General features: G+C 39.2%; 1 annotated feature.

Moving 5' to 3' along the window:
- Nucleotides 205-1,404: an enhancer, noted in NCBI's record as "P300/CBP strongly-dependent group 1 enhancer chr7:105986583-105987782 (GRCh37/hg19 assembly coordinates)". NCBI's record gives its function as "activates an origin of replication core promoter dependent on BRD2, BRD4, P300/CBP, MED14 and CDK7 cofactors, with strong dependence on P300/CBP, by STARR-seq in HCT116 cells {active_cell/tissue: HCT116}" and the evidence as "EXISTENCE:reporter gene assay evidence [ECO:0000049][PMID:35650434]".

Raw genomic sequence — 19,150 nt, 5'->3', positions numbered from 1 at the left:
TTTTCACAAGGGTCTTATTCCATCATCACTTGAATCGGAAGTCCCTCTCAGTTACCTTTTAAATTCAAGAATCTTGTCACTCAAAGTCAAAACATTTTCTCCAGGGCCTTGCAGAGACTTGTTCACATAATGAAAAATGTCCGCTGAGAAGGCAACTTTTTGTAGCCATTGTTCATCAAAACACTTAACGAAACTTGCCCAGTATGATATTGAAAGTACTTTTGAATTTCATCTTTTAGCTCAAACACCCTGTTGAAAATGCTTCCTCTGCTGAGCCACCAAATTTCTGTGTATAGCAGGATATTTCTGTGGCCTTTATCGACACCTTTTCAGTTTTAAAAGTATTCTCAAGTTAGCCTTTATATAACAAAGATAGCCATTTTGTAATATTATCTAAAACTTTCATTTCATCTCCAAGAATGTTTGACATTCTCTTTGAAGAAGCCAATGTGTTGTGAAAATGTGAGAAACTTTTTTCATTTAATAAGATGCAAAAGCTCTCATAGAACCAAATTTGACAGAGCACTATCAGTGTTCATGTCAATGTAGTTCTTAGACCTTTTGTTTATAGATATGAAGGCCAAACATTAATTATATCTTGGCCTTTCCTTGTTATGGGCCACTCTTTGTTTTCTTGAATTTCACAATTACTTGCAAATCTTACAAATGCTAAGTATGACATTTATTGGTGAAATCCCCTGACTCATCAACCTAGAAAAGGAAGCTGCGGTTTTTCAGGGTATGTCACAAAACCTCTTCAAAGTTGTGTGACGTGTCATCAATACTTCACCATATGACACTGTTTGAGGCTGTGGAACCTTTTCAGTTTCTTGTAGTGCATCTTTTCCTAGCCTTTGATTCACAGTAATTTTACATGATCACATTGTTAGCCTTACCAACTGTGTGACTTTTCCTGTTTAAGACAGTAAGTTCTGCTACTAAATAACTTGCTCCCTGGTCCTTTTCACTGAATGTACCTGTTTCTTGTTTGTTTGTGTGTTTGTGTGTTTTTAACAAGAGTTACTGTTTGTTTTAAGATTCTAATAGCTGCTTAAAGTAATCAGCATCTTTACTTCTCGAATACCTATGACTTATATTTAAGGGTTTTTGTTTTGTTTGGGTTTTCTTTTTTTTTTTTTATTGGAGCCATTCCCACATCTCTAAGTTGTTTGACATAGCAGGGATTGGCAAATGACAGCCCATGGGCCGAACCTCACCAGAGGCCTGCTTTGGTACAGCCCTCAGGGCTAAGATTGGCTTTTACATTTTTAAAGCATTTAAACAAGCAGACAAAGACAAAGAAGAATATGTGACAGAGACTACATGTGATCTGAAAAACCTAAAATATTTGCCACCTGCCTCTTTACAGAAAAATCTTGCTGGCCTCCTCACATGGATGATTCTCAATAAAATAAGAAAATTTGGATAATCAGCCTATAGAAGCTCCTTGGTAAGGGTCTTTCATCATAAAGATGGACTTTTTCTGTGTCCTTTGTTCCAATCACACAGGAAAATGACTCAGAAGGTTATAATTCATCATCACTACCCTTATCAGGGTTATCCCCAGGCCTAAAATTTTCCTCTTCCATCTCACATCTCACCTTCAAAAATTACCACATTGGGTTATCAAACATGTTTATAAAATACAAACATGAGTTAAGTGTAAAACATAAGAGCATAGTAAAATTTAAAAATCCCCCCAAACTCATCAATCACTGGAGAAATCACTTTTAGTCTTTTTCAACCTATGTTTTGCCATGTTTGTAACCACAACAAAACTGGGGGCAGGAGGTGGGGCAGGGTGCAGCTGAGCCTTTAGAATGAAAATTAAATTTCCCCTCATTTTTAGTTATACTAGCAAAGCTTGTTTGGTCCTGTGAGTCATCCTGTAGTGCATAAGGGGAGTTTAGGGGAAATAGTTAGAGAAGGAAAAACTCATGTCATCCATTTACCACCCCTCTCGTCTGTGCAATATAGCACTCATCAGTTACCAGTAACCTCCCATAGCTTGCATCATAAACCAAACTGGGCACAAACAAATACAATCCTATTGCACACTGCCACAATGGGGCTGAAAGACCCCGAATGAAATTGCTGACATGTCTGCTTAGCCACTATCTATCCTCAAAGTATGCAAACTTCGAAAGTTGATGTCTAGGTTTTAAATCAAAATCTCTTACAAACCCCTAGTGATGACATATTGAACTTTAAGGTTTTGTGGAAACCAAATTGAGAAACATTGGACCAGAGTCTCTGTATTCCAAAAGATTATCTTTCATTTGTATAATCTAAAACTCCCTTAAGTCTTATTCTTCTCCAAAACTCAAAGATCTACCCTTCTTCAAAGATAAATTTAATAATCACTGGCAGAATTAAAACAGATTGTTCTCACTCTCAGCCATCAATATTTTGGAAAACATCAAGTGCGGAAGTAAGCATCGTGACTCTGTTACAGTAACAGCTCAAATATCCGGAAGAATGTGGTAAGTCTATAAACACGTTACCACTAAAGTGCTCTCAGAGTCCATGGGGAAGTGAGATCACTAGATAGAGGAAATCAGGAAGGGTGTCATAAGTGAGGTAGCACTTACCACAGATCTCAGGGAAGGGAAGCACTTCTATGGTCAACATGACAGGAAAACATTTAGAATGCAGAGAATACAATTTCTAAAAGCATGGAGGCAGAAATTTATGGAGCAGGTTAGAACAATAGTATGTGGTCCCATTTGGCTAAAGTATAGGTGACATGTAGCGGGGAAGGGAAAGGAATATTGTATTAATAAAGTGCCATGAAGCCTGAATGACAGCCGGAAGGCCTACAATGCTAAGATAAGGAGTTTGATTAAGTCGTGAGAGCTATTGGAGGTTTCTGAGCAGTAAGATGACATAACCTCATGAAAAGTATGAGATATGATTAATATAAACCCATCCCATATTGTGCCCCTTTGTAAGCTACCTGTACGGAAGAATGTGAATTGTTTCTGGCAGGATTTTTGTTGAATATATACCTTTTCTTTCATTTTCTCCAGTGAGCAGCAACACACCCTTGTAAGACAGCTGGTAGGGTTAGGAGTATTGCCTATGTCAGTGGAACGAGTTCCTCTGTCTCAGAACAGATGGAAAGCATCACAGAAGTAGGAACAGAATGAGGCCCACAGATGGCAGAGTGGTCAGGATTTGTCAAATTCTCATTAATGTATCAAACCCCCACATGGAAAAGCATAGATCCTTGTATAATCTTTGTGTGGTACTTCTGTCTGAAGAAACCCTATAAAAGCAAAAAATTACTCTCCCATGACATTACAGAAGGGAGCTGTTTGTAAAAGCGTTGGTTTCTTCAGAGGTTGGGGTCCACTGATGCCTGGCTCTAGCTTTCTCCTGCCAAGCTGCCTAATTTTGCAATTCCAGCTCAGGCTCAAATAAAACCATGCTCCAGGGTTGCCATCTTGAAGGAAGGAGACTTCATTCTGGAATCTTTGTGATGACATAGGTAAAGCACTAGAAAGGGTAGTAGATCCATGAAGAGACCAGAAGGATAAGTACAAGAAGACAGATATGCTTTACAAATAAGGACTCTCCAGGATGAGATACAGACTGTGAGCAGGCAGATAGAACATTACATAAACGTGAAGGAGATCATGGGATGGCCACCAACTCCTAAAGTGTTAGGATGAAGTGGACAGCTCTGAAAGCTTAAAAACTGCTAAAATTGATTAATTTTAAAAACTGTTGGTTTTACATTCTGTATGACTCAATATATGTAGGAATCTTGAGAAATATCAAGAAAACACAATGAAGAGATTAAGAGTAGAGAGGTTAGGAGCCACTGTGTCCTTGCCAAACAGGCAGAGTAGGAAAACAGGAAAATATTGAGGGAGGAATATAGGCATATACTACCCTGTCACAGTCAGGCTCTAGGATGCCTGCATGATCTTCACCTCTTACTATTCGTGATCATCTGAAGTCTCCTCCTACATTGAATCAGAGGTGGTCTGTGCAACCACTTGATGGAGAAGACCATGTTTAACTTCTGAGGATAGGTCATAAAAGTCACCACAGCTGTTGCTTTGTTCTGCTGGACCACTCTTTCTGGGAAGCCAGCTACCATACTGGAGGGAAGCTCAAGCAGCCCATTGGAGAAGAACCCATGAGAAATAGTGAAAGCCTCCCACCAATAGCAAGCACCAACTTGCCAGCCATGTGACTAAGCCAATTTTGAAGCCACTCCACCTCCAATCGAGCTTGCAAATTGTTACCACTGGAGGGTGTCCAGATTCTTAGTGTCTTGAACAAAGAATTGGACAAAATACACAAACAAAGCAAGGAAACAATGAAGCAACAAAAGCAGAGATTTTTTTAAAATGAAAGTACACTCCACAGGGTGGGAGCAGGAGCAAGCATAGGGTCTCAACAGTGCGATTACAGAATTTTCTGGGGCTTAAATACCCTCTAGAGATTTTCACTGGTTACTTGGTGTAAACCCTATGTAAATGAAGAGGATGAATTCAAGTTACAAAGTCATTTACTAGGTGTATGCCCTATGTAAATGAAGAGGATATTTCCTGTCATCACTGAAGTGTTTTCCTTTGATTTAGTTCTAATAAGTCCTTAGGTTCCCTGCCTCCAGGCCCTATTCTCCTGTCTTATTTCCCCCCAAAAGATGTGATCCCCATAAATCTTTATGGGAGGCAGAGGGACTGACGGTCTTTCTTCTGTAACTGCTTCATGCTGGCTCAGGGTGTAGTCCCTACCCATTGTGGATCACAGAACTCTTGTCCTGCTCTGTCTAATGGAGACAGGGTAGCTCCTTAATGACCAGGGGTGGTGTCTTCACCTGGAACTGACTGGAACCTTTGTCACATGATCATCTGAAGCTTGATGGTCTCTAGGAGAGAGGAAATGAATTTGGTTAAAAGATTTAATGGGAACTTCAGGAGGTAGATACTTATGCTCTCAGGAATGTTTGTTATAGAGATTTACAGGAGAAAAACAAAACCTCTTCTCTTCTAGGATCCATGTGTAATATGGTTTGACTGTGTCCCCACCCAAATCACATCTTGAATTCCCATGTGTTGTGGGAAGGACCCAGTGGGAGGTAATTGAATCATGGGGGCAGGTCTTTGTTGTGCTCTTCTTGTGATAGTAAGTCTCATGAAATCTGATAGTTTTATAAGGGGGAGTTTCCCTGCACAAGCTCTCACTTTGCCTGCTGCCATCCATGTAAGACATGACTTGCTCCTCCTTGCCTTCCACTATGACTGTGAGCCCTCCCCAGCCACGTGGAACTGTAAGTCCATTAAACCTCTCCGTCTTTTGTAAATTGCCCAATCTTGAGTATGTCTTTATCAGCAGTGTAAGAACAGACTAATATAGTAAATTGGTACCAGGAGTGGGGCACTGCTGAAAAGATACGTGAAGATGTGGAAGCAACTTTGGAACTGTGTAACAGGCAGAGGTTGAAACAGTTTGGAGGGCTCAGGAAAAGACAGGAAAATGTGGGAAAGTTTGGAACTTCCTAGAGACTTGTTGAATGACCTTGCCCATAATGCTGATAGTGATATGGACAAAAAAGCTCAGGTTGAGGTGGTTTCAGATGGAAATTAGGAACTTGTTGGGAACTGGAGGAAAGGTGACTCTAGCTATGTTTTAGCAAATAGACTGGTGGCATTTTGCCCCTGCTGTAGAGATTGGTGGAACTTTGAACTTCAGAGAGATGATTTAGAGTATCTGGCAGAAGAAATTTCTAAGCAACAAAGCATTCAAGAGGTCACTTGGGTGCTGTTAAATGCATTAAGTTTTATAAGGGAAGCAGAGCATAAGAGTTAAGAAAATTTGCAGCCTGAAAATGCAATAGACAAGAAAATCCAATTTCTCTGAGAAATTCAAGCCGGCTGCAGAAATTTGCATAAGTAACAAGGAGCCGAATGTTAATCCTCAAGACCCTGGGGAAAATGTCTCCAGGGCATGTCAGAGGTCTTCACAGCAGCCCCTCCCATCACAGGCATGGAGACCTAGGAGTAAAAAATCATTTCATGGGCCAAGCCCAGTGTCCCTGTGCTGTGTGCATCCTGGGGACTTGGTGCCCTGCATCCCAGCCACTCCAGCCATGGCTGAAAGGGGCCAACATAGAGCTCAGGCCATGGCTGCAGAAGGCATGCTTGCATGCAGCCATCTTGCTTGTTGAGCCTATAAGTTGGTGGTGTTGAGCCTATGAGTGCCCAGAAGTCAAGAACTGGGGTTTGGGGACCTCCGCCTAGATTTCAGAGGATGTATGGAAATGTCTTGATGCTCAGAAATTTGCTGCAGGGGTGGGGCCCTCATGGAGAATCTCTGCTAGGGCAGTGCAGAAGGGAAATGTGGGGTCAGATCCCCCACACAGAGTCCCTACTGGGGCACCACCTAGTGGAGCTATGAGAAGAGAGTCACCATCCTCCAGACCCCAGAATGGTAGATCCACCAATAGTTTGCACCATGAGCCTGGAAAAGCTGCAGACACTCAATGCCATCCTGTGAAAGCATCTGGGAGGGAGGCTGTACCCTGCAAAACCACAAGGGGTGCAGCTGTCAAGACCATGGAAACCCACCTCTTGCATCAGCATGACCTGGATGTGAGACACGGGGTCAAAGGAGATCATTTTGGAGCTTTAAGATTTGATTACCCTGCTGGATTTTGGACTTGCATGGGACCTGTAGCCCATTTGTTTGGGCCAATTTCTCCCATTTGGAATGGTTGTATTTACCCAATGCTTATCCCCCATTGTATCTAGGAAGTAACTAACTTGCTTTTGATTTTAAAGTCTCACAGGCAGGAGGGACTTGCCTTGTCTCAGATGAAACTTTGGACTGTGGATTTTTGAGTTAATGTTGAAATGAGTTAACACTTTGGGGGACTGTTAGGAAGGCATAATTGGTTTTGAAATGTGAGGACATGAGATTTGGGAGGGGCTGGGGCGGAATGATATGGTTTGGCTGTGTCCTCACACAAATCTCATCTTGAATACCCACGTATTATGGGAGAGATCTGGTGGGAGGTAATTGAATCATGGGGGCAGGTCTTTCCCATGTTGTTCTCATGATAGTGAATAAGTCTCAAGAGCTCTTACAGTTTCATAAGGTGGAGTTTCCCTGCACAAGCTCTTGCTTTGCCTACTGCCATCCATATAAGATGTGACTTGCTCCTCCTTGCCTTCCACCATACTTGTGAGGCCTCCCCAGACACGTGGAACTGTAAATCCATTAAACCTCTCTTTCTTTTGTAAATTGCCCAGTCTCAGGTATATCTTTATCAGCAGTGTGAGAATGGACTAATACAATGTATCGCCTTAAAGTCTTAGCCCAAGCAACTCCATTTTGTTTGGTTTGATCTGATGAGGTCTAATGCATGAGCTCAGTCCAAAACAATGGCCTACCACAATTTTGTTTTTAAAAATTCCCCCCTTTTGGTCAGGTTCTCACTTAGGTGAGAGTATGATCAAAACTTAGAGCCTTAGTACCACTCTCAGTTACCATCATTTTGGGTTTCTGGTCTCAGCATGCCATTCATAGGTTACAGTGTCCTTGTGGTCACATATTTCATTCAGCTTTTGTCATTCCACTTGAAGAGAGACCATTTGACATTCTAGAGATGGCTGCATGCAAGCATGTAAAACCTTTGAGAGAATACAATGCACCAGGGAGACTATTATTATGACTATCAAAAGGATAATACCAAGAGTTTGAAGTATGTTCCTTATCCAGGGTCCCCATAAACCAAACCACCTAAAATCAAATAGATCAAAGAATGAGCTAGATAAGCAGTCTACTCACTTAACTAAACAGTCTCTTTGTTAATCCACTACAACTGAAACTCTATAATACCTGATGTTTTCCACCATAGGCCATGACTGCCAGCAGCTGCATAGATACTTTTCTCTTTGGCCAATTCTATTCTTTAGCATAACTTTCACAAGATAATTTAAAGTCTGTTGTGTAACTATAGACTTTACAGTAGAATCTGCTATAGAACCTATTGTGAGGGATACATTTTTAATCATTACCTCTTTTATTCCAAATCCTTCCAAATGGAAAATAGACCTAATAAATGATGCCCTTCTCTTATAGAAGAGTGAAGGCCTCCTGGGAATGTTCTTTTTAACCCATGAGTGGGTTAATAGGAGTGAACCAATCTTCTGTTTCTGACTGATTATGAGGCAACGTATGTAGCATTAAAGTTTCTCACCTACACTGGGTCTTCATCTTTTATCTATCAGAGTATAAGATTATCCATGTATAAGGCTGGCTGCAAAATCCTTCACAAATAAAAGTATACCCCATAAGTGCACAAAACAGATCCCTTTTTCATTTCTATTGTTCATAGAGGCATAAACAAAAAATATTCAAGGATAAGAGTCTCATGATAGTAGAAGTCTTAATCTGTGATCTTGGAAAAAGATGTTTACATCAAAGATGAATCTTCGTCCAGGGCAATCTTGGCTCACTGCAACCTCCACCTCCTGGGTTCAAGTGATTCTTCTGCCTCAGCCTCCCAAGTAGCTGGGACTAAAGGTGCATGCCACCACACCCAGCTAATTTTTTTGTATTTTTGGTAGAGATGGGGTTTCACCATATTGGCCAGACTGGGCTTGAACTCCTGACCTCATGATCTGCCCACCTCAGCCTCCCAAAGTGCTGGGATTACAGGTGTGAGCCACCACACCTGGCTGAACTTTTAATAATAAAAGCTTTAAGGACTTGAGAAGGACAAGGTGGCCATCCTCATTTTCCATGAATCCATGCTTAATGAACATTAGACTTATATGCTCTTGAATACCAGTTGTTTCACCAAATTAGGTGAATAACACTGGTAACTGATGGGTTATCATAGGTAATTTGACTTAGACCATGGAATTCATTCAAATTGTATATCTAAACAATTTCAGTAACAGCCGATTTAGCATAAAAATCTGGCAAAGTATTTTCTTGGTATTTAATTAATTTTTGTTCTACCTAGGTTAGCAGTTTTATAACCCAGTCAGTCTTTTCATTAAAGTTCCAGGAATTCTTACCCAGTTCAAATGATATGATTCTAAAGTTCTCAGAAACCTGTATTCAAGAGTGCTTTTTAGAGTCCTTTCCATCCTTTAATCAACTTCCTAAAAGACACCATATTCTAGGATTTTGTGTGCTTGTGACGTTTTCAGAAACTGCATCAGCATTAAACAATTAACTGTGGAAATAACTTTAAATAGTTACAGTTAAAAACACAATTGACAAGGAAATTTGGTTATTTCTGTGGTTTACAATCATTTAACATAATAACCATAATTATGATTGATGGCATATACTCAGACATCTTAGAATTTTAGAAATCCCATACAATTTTGGAAAATATATAATATCATTCACTAAACTATAACCTGAAGAAGACTAAATTTTTTAAGTTTTTGTCAATACTTCCCATGTAACTAAACGTGTCAAATGATTCTTCTCACCTCTCTTTTGGATGATTCAGGGGCCCTTCGCAGCATCTCAAAGTTAGAGGTCAGAAAAGACAATTTTGAAGCTGCAATTTGATTTTGGGAAGCCTATCAAATATGTTAGAGGCTTAAAACACTTGATATTATGAAATAGAACTCCAGGTTACCATAAGTCATTCATTTAGCCAAAATGATTATCAAAAAAACCTCTTTTTTAGGCAAAAACCTTCACTCATTGAAAGAGGGAAGACTTAGCTTTCCAAACAATCTGTCTCTTGTCTTTCCCTTCTTTTTTTGTTGGTAGTTTATTCAAAAGGCAAATAAAAATCTTTCAGTGTCTTTTAATATTACATGAAAATCTTGTTCAGGAGAGAAAGCCACATTTCACCCTTGCATTAGTGTACTATTAATGTCAACCCCAATTTTTAATAAAACCTTATAGACAAATCTTTCCGATCTTAATCAGTTTGACCATACAATGAGAATCTCATAAATCTTTTATAACCCTCTATAAATTTTTAGTAAAGAGCAGATCAGTGCTTTAAGAAAACCATGTTTGTGTTTTTATTTCAATGTTCAATTTACAGACAAACCAGAAAATAACCCTTTAAATTTAGTCAATATGTTCACACACATAATTTTTTACAAGATTAATTGTTTGCAAACCTTCCACAACCTGTTCAAACCTTTAGCTTTATTCTAACTTAAAACAATCTTTTAGCCCTTTAGGCACAACAAAAAAACCCACATTCCCATGCTTTCTTATAATCTTTTACCAAAAACATATTTCACTTTTCTTACATACCTTTCATGTAAAACTGTTTCTTCAGTAGGCTCAATTACATGTTACAATGCTAACTCTTGGCGACATTTACTTTTGGTGAAAACCTTGATAAGTTTGGGATTTTAATTATGTACTAGGGGTGGAGCCTAGGACCCACCCAGAAGTCCAGATAAGGTCTGACCCTTTCCAGCATCTAACTCCATGTGTCCCAGGCTTTACCTAGCTGTAAAGCAGGCAAGTTGTACAGTTAAGAGTCACAGTGGCATTTTATGAAGCATTTAGGAGGCCTAATCACCTTTAAACTGTACAACATTTCTTGCATAAATTCTCTTTCATAAATTATTTCATGATTTACACAGACCATCTATAATATGCTTGGACTTTCTGACTTGTCCTAAACATCTCTCCTTTTAAACAACCTGTTATTTTACTTTAGGACAAGAATTTACCATATAAGATCCTTTCTTATGTAAGATTTCTTTTCTTTATAAACTTCTTTGCATAGCTAGGTGACATGACTAATTTCACATGTCTCCAGGTCTTACCTAGAATCTAATACTCCAAAATAAATTGAATAATTTTTAAAAGTCAAACAAGCAGTTTATGACCTTAAACATTTAGCAAACCTGGTATCTGACCTGTATAATTTAGACCAAATTTTTACATTTTTGAAGATATTTTTATTTTACCAATAATCTTTAAAACTGTCTTTATTTCCCAAAGATTACTTAAGCCACATGAACTAAATAAAAGGCATTAAACTTTTTACTTTTCTGACAAAATATTTGATTTAAGCTCTTATTATTAAACCAATTAATTAAAGTTCTTTTATATTACACAACACACATAAATACATAGATAGAAGATAAAGGACTCATTCCCTAAGCCAGGAATTGAACCCTAAACCCAGCTGCCATTGTGAAAAGAGAAAGAAAGCATGGCCACATGGTTACGAGGTCAAGCTCCCAAGGACATGACTGTCCAGTTTGCTGGGCCATCTTGAACAGCAAGCCTATGGAGTCCTAGGCACGCATTTTATCCTAATGTACCCCTTTTTGTGACAGAACAATACAGAAAGACACATAAAGCACACCAGATTCACTACAGCTTAAGACCAGCCTCAGAATTCTTTTTTATATTAATCAAAACTTTACAGAGGAGATAAACAGTGACTTTTACTATTCATTTAACCAGTTTGCACAGAGAGAAAGAAAGAGAGAGAGAGGCCAGAGTCTGAATGGTAAGAAATTCTTACCCTTTTGCCAGCATGCCAGGTTTCTGGGTTCTCTCTCCCTGAGCAGCCCTAGCAACCCTGCTCAACTGTGTATGCAAACAATCACATTGCAATGAATTAAGAATAGTCACACATAGTTTACAAATTTTGGAGAAATTAGGCAGAGAGAGAAATATTGACTCAAATTCTATTTAAGAAAGTACACTCAACACCCTTAAAGTATCAGGAAGCCTAAATTCCAAAAAGTTAGTTTAAGGATAGAAAGTTTTTGTGCTCCATCAATTCCTGCGGGCCTGACAAAGGTAGCCTAGGAATTCCAGATAAACAAAACAAATGATGACTTGCTAGGAATGCATAGGAAACAAAATAACTATCCACAGAACCAAATAAAAGCCTTCCACTAGAAACTAAAAAACAAAACAAAAAAATAAATGGTTTTATATATGCACACACAAGGAAAGCCAGAGGAGAATAAACAGCAAACAAATGAAAATTGGAAGCAAAGACAAGTAAACAGGACACCAACCCTAAATGTTCCTACTCAATCTACCTTGGAGACTATAGTGTTACCCAGGGTCCCAAAAAAACTCACATAATGAATATTTTATTCCTGATACACAATTAAGTATCCTCAAGTCCACCAATATCACCATACATCCTGTACAACCAAGAAATTCACTCTAGGCACATGACCAATAAGTACTCCAGTGCCAGCACTATCCACACAAAACAGTAAACATAGGGGGAAGCAATGCAATTATGTATACGAAATTTGGCTCCACACTAAATCCAGCTTCATGCTTAACTGTATTTAAAAAAAAGAATTGCCAAACTGCCAATGCGTTTCTTTACAATACTTCTTATTTTATCAGTCAAGACTAACAGCTTTAACTATGAAAATGTTAATTAGTGAAATGTCTCCAATTCCCTATCAGGTTTTAAAGAATATTATCTAAACTTTTTCCACATTTTTCTCCCCTACCTACTAGTTACGTAGTACATTATTTCATAAATAACCTTTTGAAGTCTGTAACTGGAACTTTTATATAACTTCTGAATTAGATGAAATTATTCTTTTTCTCATTAATAACACAACCCTTTCTGGTACATTTTGTATACAAAATTATGTGTTAACTAGAATTCTTATCCTTAGTAACCTAAAACTTTAGTGAAATCCTAAAAAGCAAGAAATCTTGAGCTACGAGATATGGACATTTATAGATAAGAATAATTCCACAGTATTTAGAAACATATTTCCCCATATCACAACCCTTTCTTAATTGGAAATGACCCAGATATTCAATGAGCATCAAACATAATTTTAAGATTTTAATTTACACAAAAAGTTCACCTAAAACATTTATCCCATTTACATGTACTTATTTCATTTTTAAACAGTTTATCTAGATTACTTCTGTAAACTGAGATATTAGACACTATTATTTAAAGTGAGTTATTTCCTTGTTAACCACATTTTTAATAGCCAGTGAACATCAGGTGCTCACCCAAACCTAAGTAAGAGCCTCAAAGTTAAGTACATAGATATTTTGGCCAACAGCTCAGAAGATTTAGCTAATGTTAAATTACTATCATTTGTCAAAAAAAAAAAAGGGCAGGCAAACCAAGATCATTTTGTTTTGGCTGGGTTTATAGTTTTATAACTTTCTATGCCAAACCCTGATACCTCAGAATATCTAGCAGAGACAAATATAAAACCCAGATAACGACAAGATGTGGTGGCTCATGCCTGTAATCCCAGCACTTTGGAAGACCAAGGCAGGTGGATCACGAGGTGAGGAGATGGAGACCATCTGGCTAACAGGGTGAAACCCCGTCTCTACTAAAAATACAAAAAATTAGCAGGGCGTGGTGGCGGGCGCCTATAGTCCCAGCTACTTGGGAGGCTGAGGCAAGAGAATGGCGTGAACCTGGGAGGCAGAGCTTGCGGTGAGCCGAGATCGCGCCACTGCACTCCAGCCTGGGAGACAGAGCAAGACTTTGTCTCAAATAAAAATAAAAATAAAATCCAGATAAAAATGTATGCTAACAATTCTGAAGGCATTTCTATTTTTATTTTATCAATAATTTAAAAACCAGCTTGTTTAGTAAAGTTATACTTAAGTCATGTGAACTTGAAAATTGCTCAGACTTATTTACTTGATTTATGAGTGCTCTTTTATAGGCCAATTTGGTAGACACAACGTATAACAAGTGTACATACAAATAAACACATCTAGACATATATATATACACACACACAAATGAAGATTCAATAGCTTTTACCTTGGAACCCTAGCCATGAGATAGCAATACAAGCTCACTGGTTTTACTTTGTTTGCCCCAATAGGTAATCCAATGAAGGCTGTGAACCAAAATTTCGGGTATAGCAGTTTCCATGGCAGTTTGATTTTTAGAGGCCAAACTTCCCCAGACTCCAAAGAACACTGGGGCCAAACGGTACCAAAGGAAAGCATAACACGTTCACCAGGCCCCCTGCTTAGAAAAGCAGCACAAAAGCCTAGACACATAAAACTCCGTCCCACTTTCCCATTCAACAGCAAACTTCAGATTCCAAACAATATGGGGTCCACACAGTATTGCAACTGCAAGAGAAAATTCTAAGGGGGGCTTAGCACTAGACCTCAGGACCTCTGCCAAGGGCGTCCGCTTTGGAGAGGTTGGGGTCTGGAGGATCCCCCAGGGAATCCCCCTTTAGGGTCCAATCTTAGAGTGTCAGATGTCTCTGACCTTAGGTGGGCACCAGTGCCACTTTGCATGCTTTCCCTCCAGAGGGGATAGCCTACTATGAGCTTTCCTTTTGTCCCTGGATGAAGGCCTCAACTTCTAGCATCCTTATAATTTGATAACGCCATGCTTTCCCGTGCTTCCCATTCCATTAGTGATAGCCATGAACTTTAATGATAGGAACTGGAGGCTGGGTGGGTTTCTTCTGCCCTTAGCCAGTTGAGTAGCGTAAGGGAAGAATTTAACATAAGAAAAGAAGGTTTCAGTCACATGAAACGCTTGTCAGTTCACCCTGAGCTGTACCACATGTAGGGATTAGGGACCACAACCGGAAAAAATAGAAAATATTCCTTCAGAGCGGCCCCGGCCAGAAATCTGCAGTTGCCTCTGTGTTTAGGCACTGCCCACCAAGGGGCCCGAGTTGGAAAGGAAAAGAGAGAGAGAGATTCCCCTGTATGGAGCAGAAAAGAAAAGGAGAAAAATAAATCCCAAACTTTGGGATTACCTCCTGTCTGGCTTGCCAAAATATGTTACCGGTGGAGTGTGTCCAGGTTCTTGGCATCCTGAACAAAGAACTGGACAAAACACACAAAGCAAGGAAAGAAAGAAGCAAAAAGGCAGAGATTTATGGAAAAATGAAAGTACACCCACAGAGTGGGAGTGAGCATGAGTATAGGGTCTCAACAGCACAGTTACAGAATTTTCTGGTGTTTAAATACCCTCTAGAGGTTTCTGTTGGTTACTTGGTGTACACCTATGTAAGTGAAGAGGATGAAGTAAAATTACGAAGTCATTTACTAGTCGTATGCCCAATGTAAATGAAGAGGATATTTCCTATCATAGCTGAAGTGTTTCCATTTGATTCAGTTCTAAGAAGACCTTAGGTTCCCTGCCTCCAGGCCCTATTCTCCTGCCTCAAAATGATTGCCGCCCCAGCCAACATCTGAAAAACAGATGTTATGTTTGTCAAAAGAAAAATCAAAAAAACACCCTGAGCTAGAAGAACAACCCAGCCAAGCCCAACTATAAGAAAATAAACGTTTATCATTGTTTTAAAACACTCTGTTTGGAGGTAATTTCTTACATTGCAATAAATAATTAATGCACTGCCCTACCAAAACCGAATCTGGGTGGTGAGCAGAAACTCTTGTCAATGGAGTAAATGGTTAATAAACAGAGAGGAGATGAGGGAGTTCAAGGCTTAAAGATGTGAGGGTAAATTTGGGGATTTAAAATTAGGAGCTCCAGTTAGTGTTTAGGTTATGTGGGTTATGGTGAAGGAGGGAGCTGAATGCCAAGAGCTGGGTCTGTTTTCTGGGCTGAGGGAGTGCAGTATATGTTATCTTTATGCTAATGTATGCTAAAGTCAGAAGAATAAACAGGGAAGTGGGGATTCAGAATAAGTCTGCCTAGTTATAGCTGTTCTTGGTGACCTACCCAGGTACCTTTTACTGAACCAATGCACCAATCCCCCAGCTGCCATATCCTCCACGAACTGCTGTGGTAGCTCCCTCAACCAGAACTGATAAGAAGTTACCCCTTCCCCCCAGGGCAACCTGCAGCCATTAACTGACTGATATAGGGATACACAAAGCCCATCTAGCCTCAATGTTTGACAATTCCATGGTACTAGTCTTGCTCCAAAGCTTCCCATTAATTCAGACTGCGCCTAAATTCCAGCTGAAATCATCCAGCTGAAACCACATCTTGCTTAGCTTCTTCCCCTGTGCTATGCCACTTCTCTCATTCCCTTACTGAATTCACCTGATATCATGCTGTTAATAAATTATTTGTGCTAGAATTCCTGCTGCAGGCTCTGCTGCTAGGGAACCGAAGCTAAGACCCCAGGTTTAAAGAAAGTGCATATGCTGAAAGTGTCCATTTTGCTGCATCTTTCAGAATCCATGATTGACCCAGAGAGGGTGCAGTGGTGAGAACCCCAACAAGAGCTGCTTTATGTCATGGATATTAAATATGTAGATGCTCTTAGCTCTAAGAGGAAAATGTAAGGGGAAATAAGATGATTTGAGGATTGGGTCTTTAACAATTAGAAAAAGGGGGTGCACGGGTGATTATCTCCTAATTTTCAAGGCTAGTTTGTGAAGAACCACCACAGGCCATTGTCAGACAAAATATGAATATCTTTACAATACTGGTCTCATCCCCTAGGATGACTTTATGGTTTTAGTTTATGTCCCAGTCTCCTCCACACTTGCTTGAGAACACTGGGAAAACCAGTAATAATAAATTAGATACTGGCACCTATATTTGATGCTTCTATCACAGAAGAAAATATGAACGAGGTTATATGAAGTTATATGACCTGGGATCACCGAAGAGTTCCCAGAAAGATTTAAAGTAAAGATGTAAATGAATCTAAGAAATTCACACATACTGGGGGATGTCTATTCCTGAAAGAGAATATAACAAAATAAATTTAGCATAATAGCTTTTAAATCATCTGCCCTAGCCAATAGCCAAGGAAAAAGAATTAATCTAATAAGGCTTTTTGACTCTCCTGGAAAGGAGCTTCTGAAGATATTCCCCTATTAATTGTAATGCTAAATAGCTTCCTTGACTGATATGCCCTCATATATTAATAACCTTTCTTCTGATGATATGTTTCAACTAGGTGGAAATTGCTACCATTGTCATCTTCAAGGTATAGCAAATGGAGGCAATTGTCTCAAACCCCAAGACTGGTTCACTCAACCCCTTCTCCCACCACCACCTGCTGACAAATGGGCTGTTACTCAGAGAAATTTGACTCAGGGAGAAAAGGAGATGGCTCTATCTTCTGATAGTCTACAGACATGACCATCATCAAAACAGAGCCAGTGGGGCTTCCATTTCTACCATGTACCCATCTCCCATCTCTGCATGAATCAGGCCTAACTTCAGCTATTCAGAAATGCTGGAGAGGTACAAAACCCACCAGAGCTGCCTGCCTTGGGTCAAACACCTCCCTAGGAATGGCTCCAATCCTCTCCATTTATTCTCAACTTTTTACATTTTGCATTTGGAAAGAACACTGAAGTCAGTAAACTTTGGTCTGTGACTGCCACCAACTCTCTGTGAGCCAGAGCCCTTCCCCTCTCTTGGCCTTGGTTTTGTCAGCTACAAAATAGAGAGATTTATTTTAATCAGTGTGTCTGCTTCCAAAAATGCTTGTTCAGAGAGATGACTCACACAAAAAAGATTGAGTATAAAAACCAGGGATCACTGCAAACCATAACCCCCACATGGGGAATTCCCAGCATTTTGAGCATAATAAAGGCTTTCTCTAATAAATAAAAGTGTTTGACATTGTTTAAGCCAAAAAACATTGATCACAGAAACTTTTTGGGTGGAATGCTTACTAAAATTCCATGCAACCTGTCTTTGGTGAAACCCTAAACTAGAGAAGCCTTTCAAGCTTCTTGGGTCAATGATTGCTGTGAAGGTATTTTTTTTGATGAGATTCACATTTAAACCAGTAAACTTAGAATAAAGCAGATTAGCCTCCAATCAGTTAGAGGTCTTAAGAGTAAAGTCTGAGGATTTCCCAAAAAAGGGACTGCAATGTAGGAGACCAGCCTGAGTTTCCAGCCTTTGAGACACATAGTTCTCTATTATATGAGAAAGAGAGAGAGATGAATAGATATAGATACCTACAGATTAGATACAGATGAGATATCCTATTGGTTCTCTGGAAAACTCTGACTAATACACTGGTATTGTGTTGTGGCTGAACCAAATGCCAGTATGGAGTAGTATGGTTCTTCATTCTTTGCTTTTTGTCATCTCATAGAATCTAAATTCTCTCAAGAATTTTCCATAAAAGAAAGAATTCTCTTCTGCAGGAAATGAGGGACAACGTGGTTGCCATGGAAAAAGTATTTATTAAATGGCAAGACAATTAGTTTCCACACCCCTTGATCACTCAGGGCCTTAATTGCACCCACCAATAATGTAGGATTGTGGTGACCTGTTTATCTAAGGCAATCACTTGCTGAACTGAATTTTGGTGGTCCTTTCAAGTTCTAAAATCTGTAGTTTTCTGACTTAATGGCTAGTGTGCTTGAGAAATTAGATCATCTCTTGACAACAAACCTCTTAACAACTCCACCGTGGCTGGGTTTCTTTGAAGGAGAAGTTGCCCTTGTTAACCCAAGTTCCTGGCAGTTTCTGGTCCAAATTTTCCCTCAGTAAAGGTCTTTTCATGCTAATGAACAATTTTTAAAAGACACTTAATGATATCTTGGCTTTGTATACTGTGTAGTTAATTTGGAATCCCAAGGGAACTCTTATTCTGGCATAGACATCCCATCTAAATAGTCCCTTGAAGGAAGCGATCATCACAAATAAAATGGAAATCTTTATAATGTCTGTTATGGGAAAATTTTTTATCATCTCAATGACTTGTATTTCTCATCCACAAAATACTGATAATTAGAATTTCTACCGTTTTGTGTTGTTTTAAATACTCAACATGATAATAAGTATGAAGTCCTTAGCACAATGCTTGGCATGATAGAAGTGCTCAAAAGTTTTTAGTTATTATGACCAGAATAAACAAAAGCTTCTTAGATTGTCATTATAGACTGTAACCAAATATTGTTGTGTTTGGGAACACATTGTTTGCCCTAACTACACAATAAAGCAATGTATGAATCTTCGTCCAGAAATGCAAGTGAGCACAAAATATGGCTTTATTTTTTATCATTCCACTTAATTTCTCTTTCTTTCCTACAGTCTGCTAGGGTAATAGAAACTTACTCTCAGTCAATTTAGGGTCTCTTTTTCCAAAGTTTTGTCTTAGTTTCCAGGAGACTCCAATGGAGCTAGGACATTGAATGGTGGGTTTGGAGGTTGTGGCGTCTTGTCCTTCAGTTCTCTGTCTCCATGAGTGTTCACTGGGATATCTATAGTTACAGTCCTTGAACACAACCC

This window comes from Homo sapiens, chromosome 7 (assembly GCF_000001405.40).
Source record: "Homo sapiens chromosome 7, GRCh38.p14 Primary Assembly".
Lineage (NCBI taxonomy): Eukaryota > Metazoa > Chordata > Mammalia > Primates > Hominidae > Homo > Homo sapiens.
Note: the sequence above shows the minus strand (reverse complement) of the source record. Positions and strands in the feature narration are given on the sequence as shown.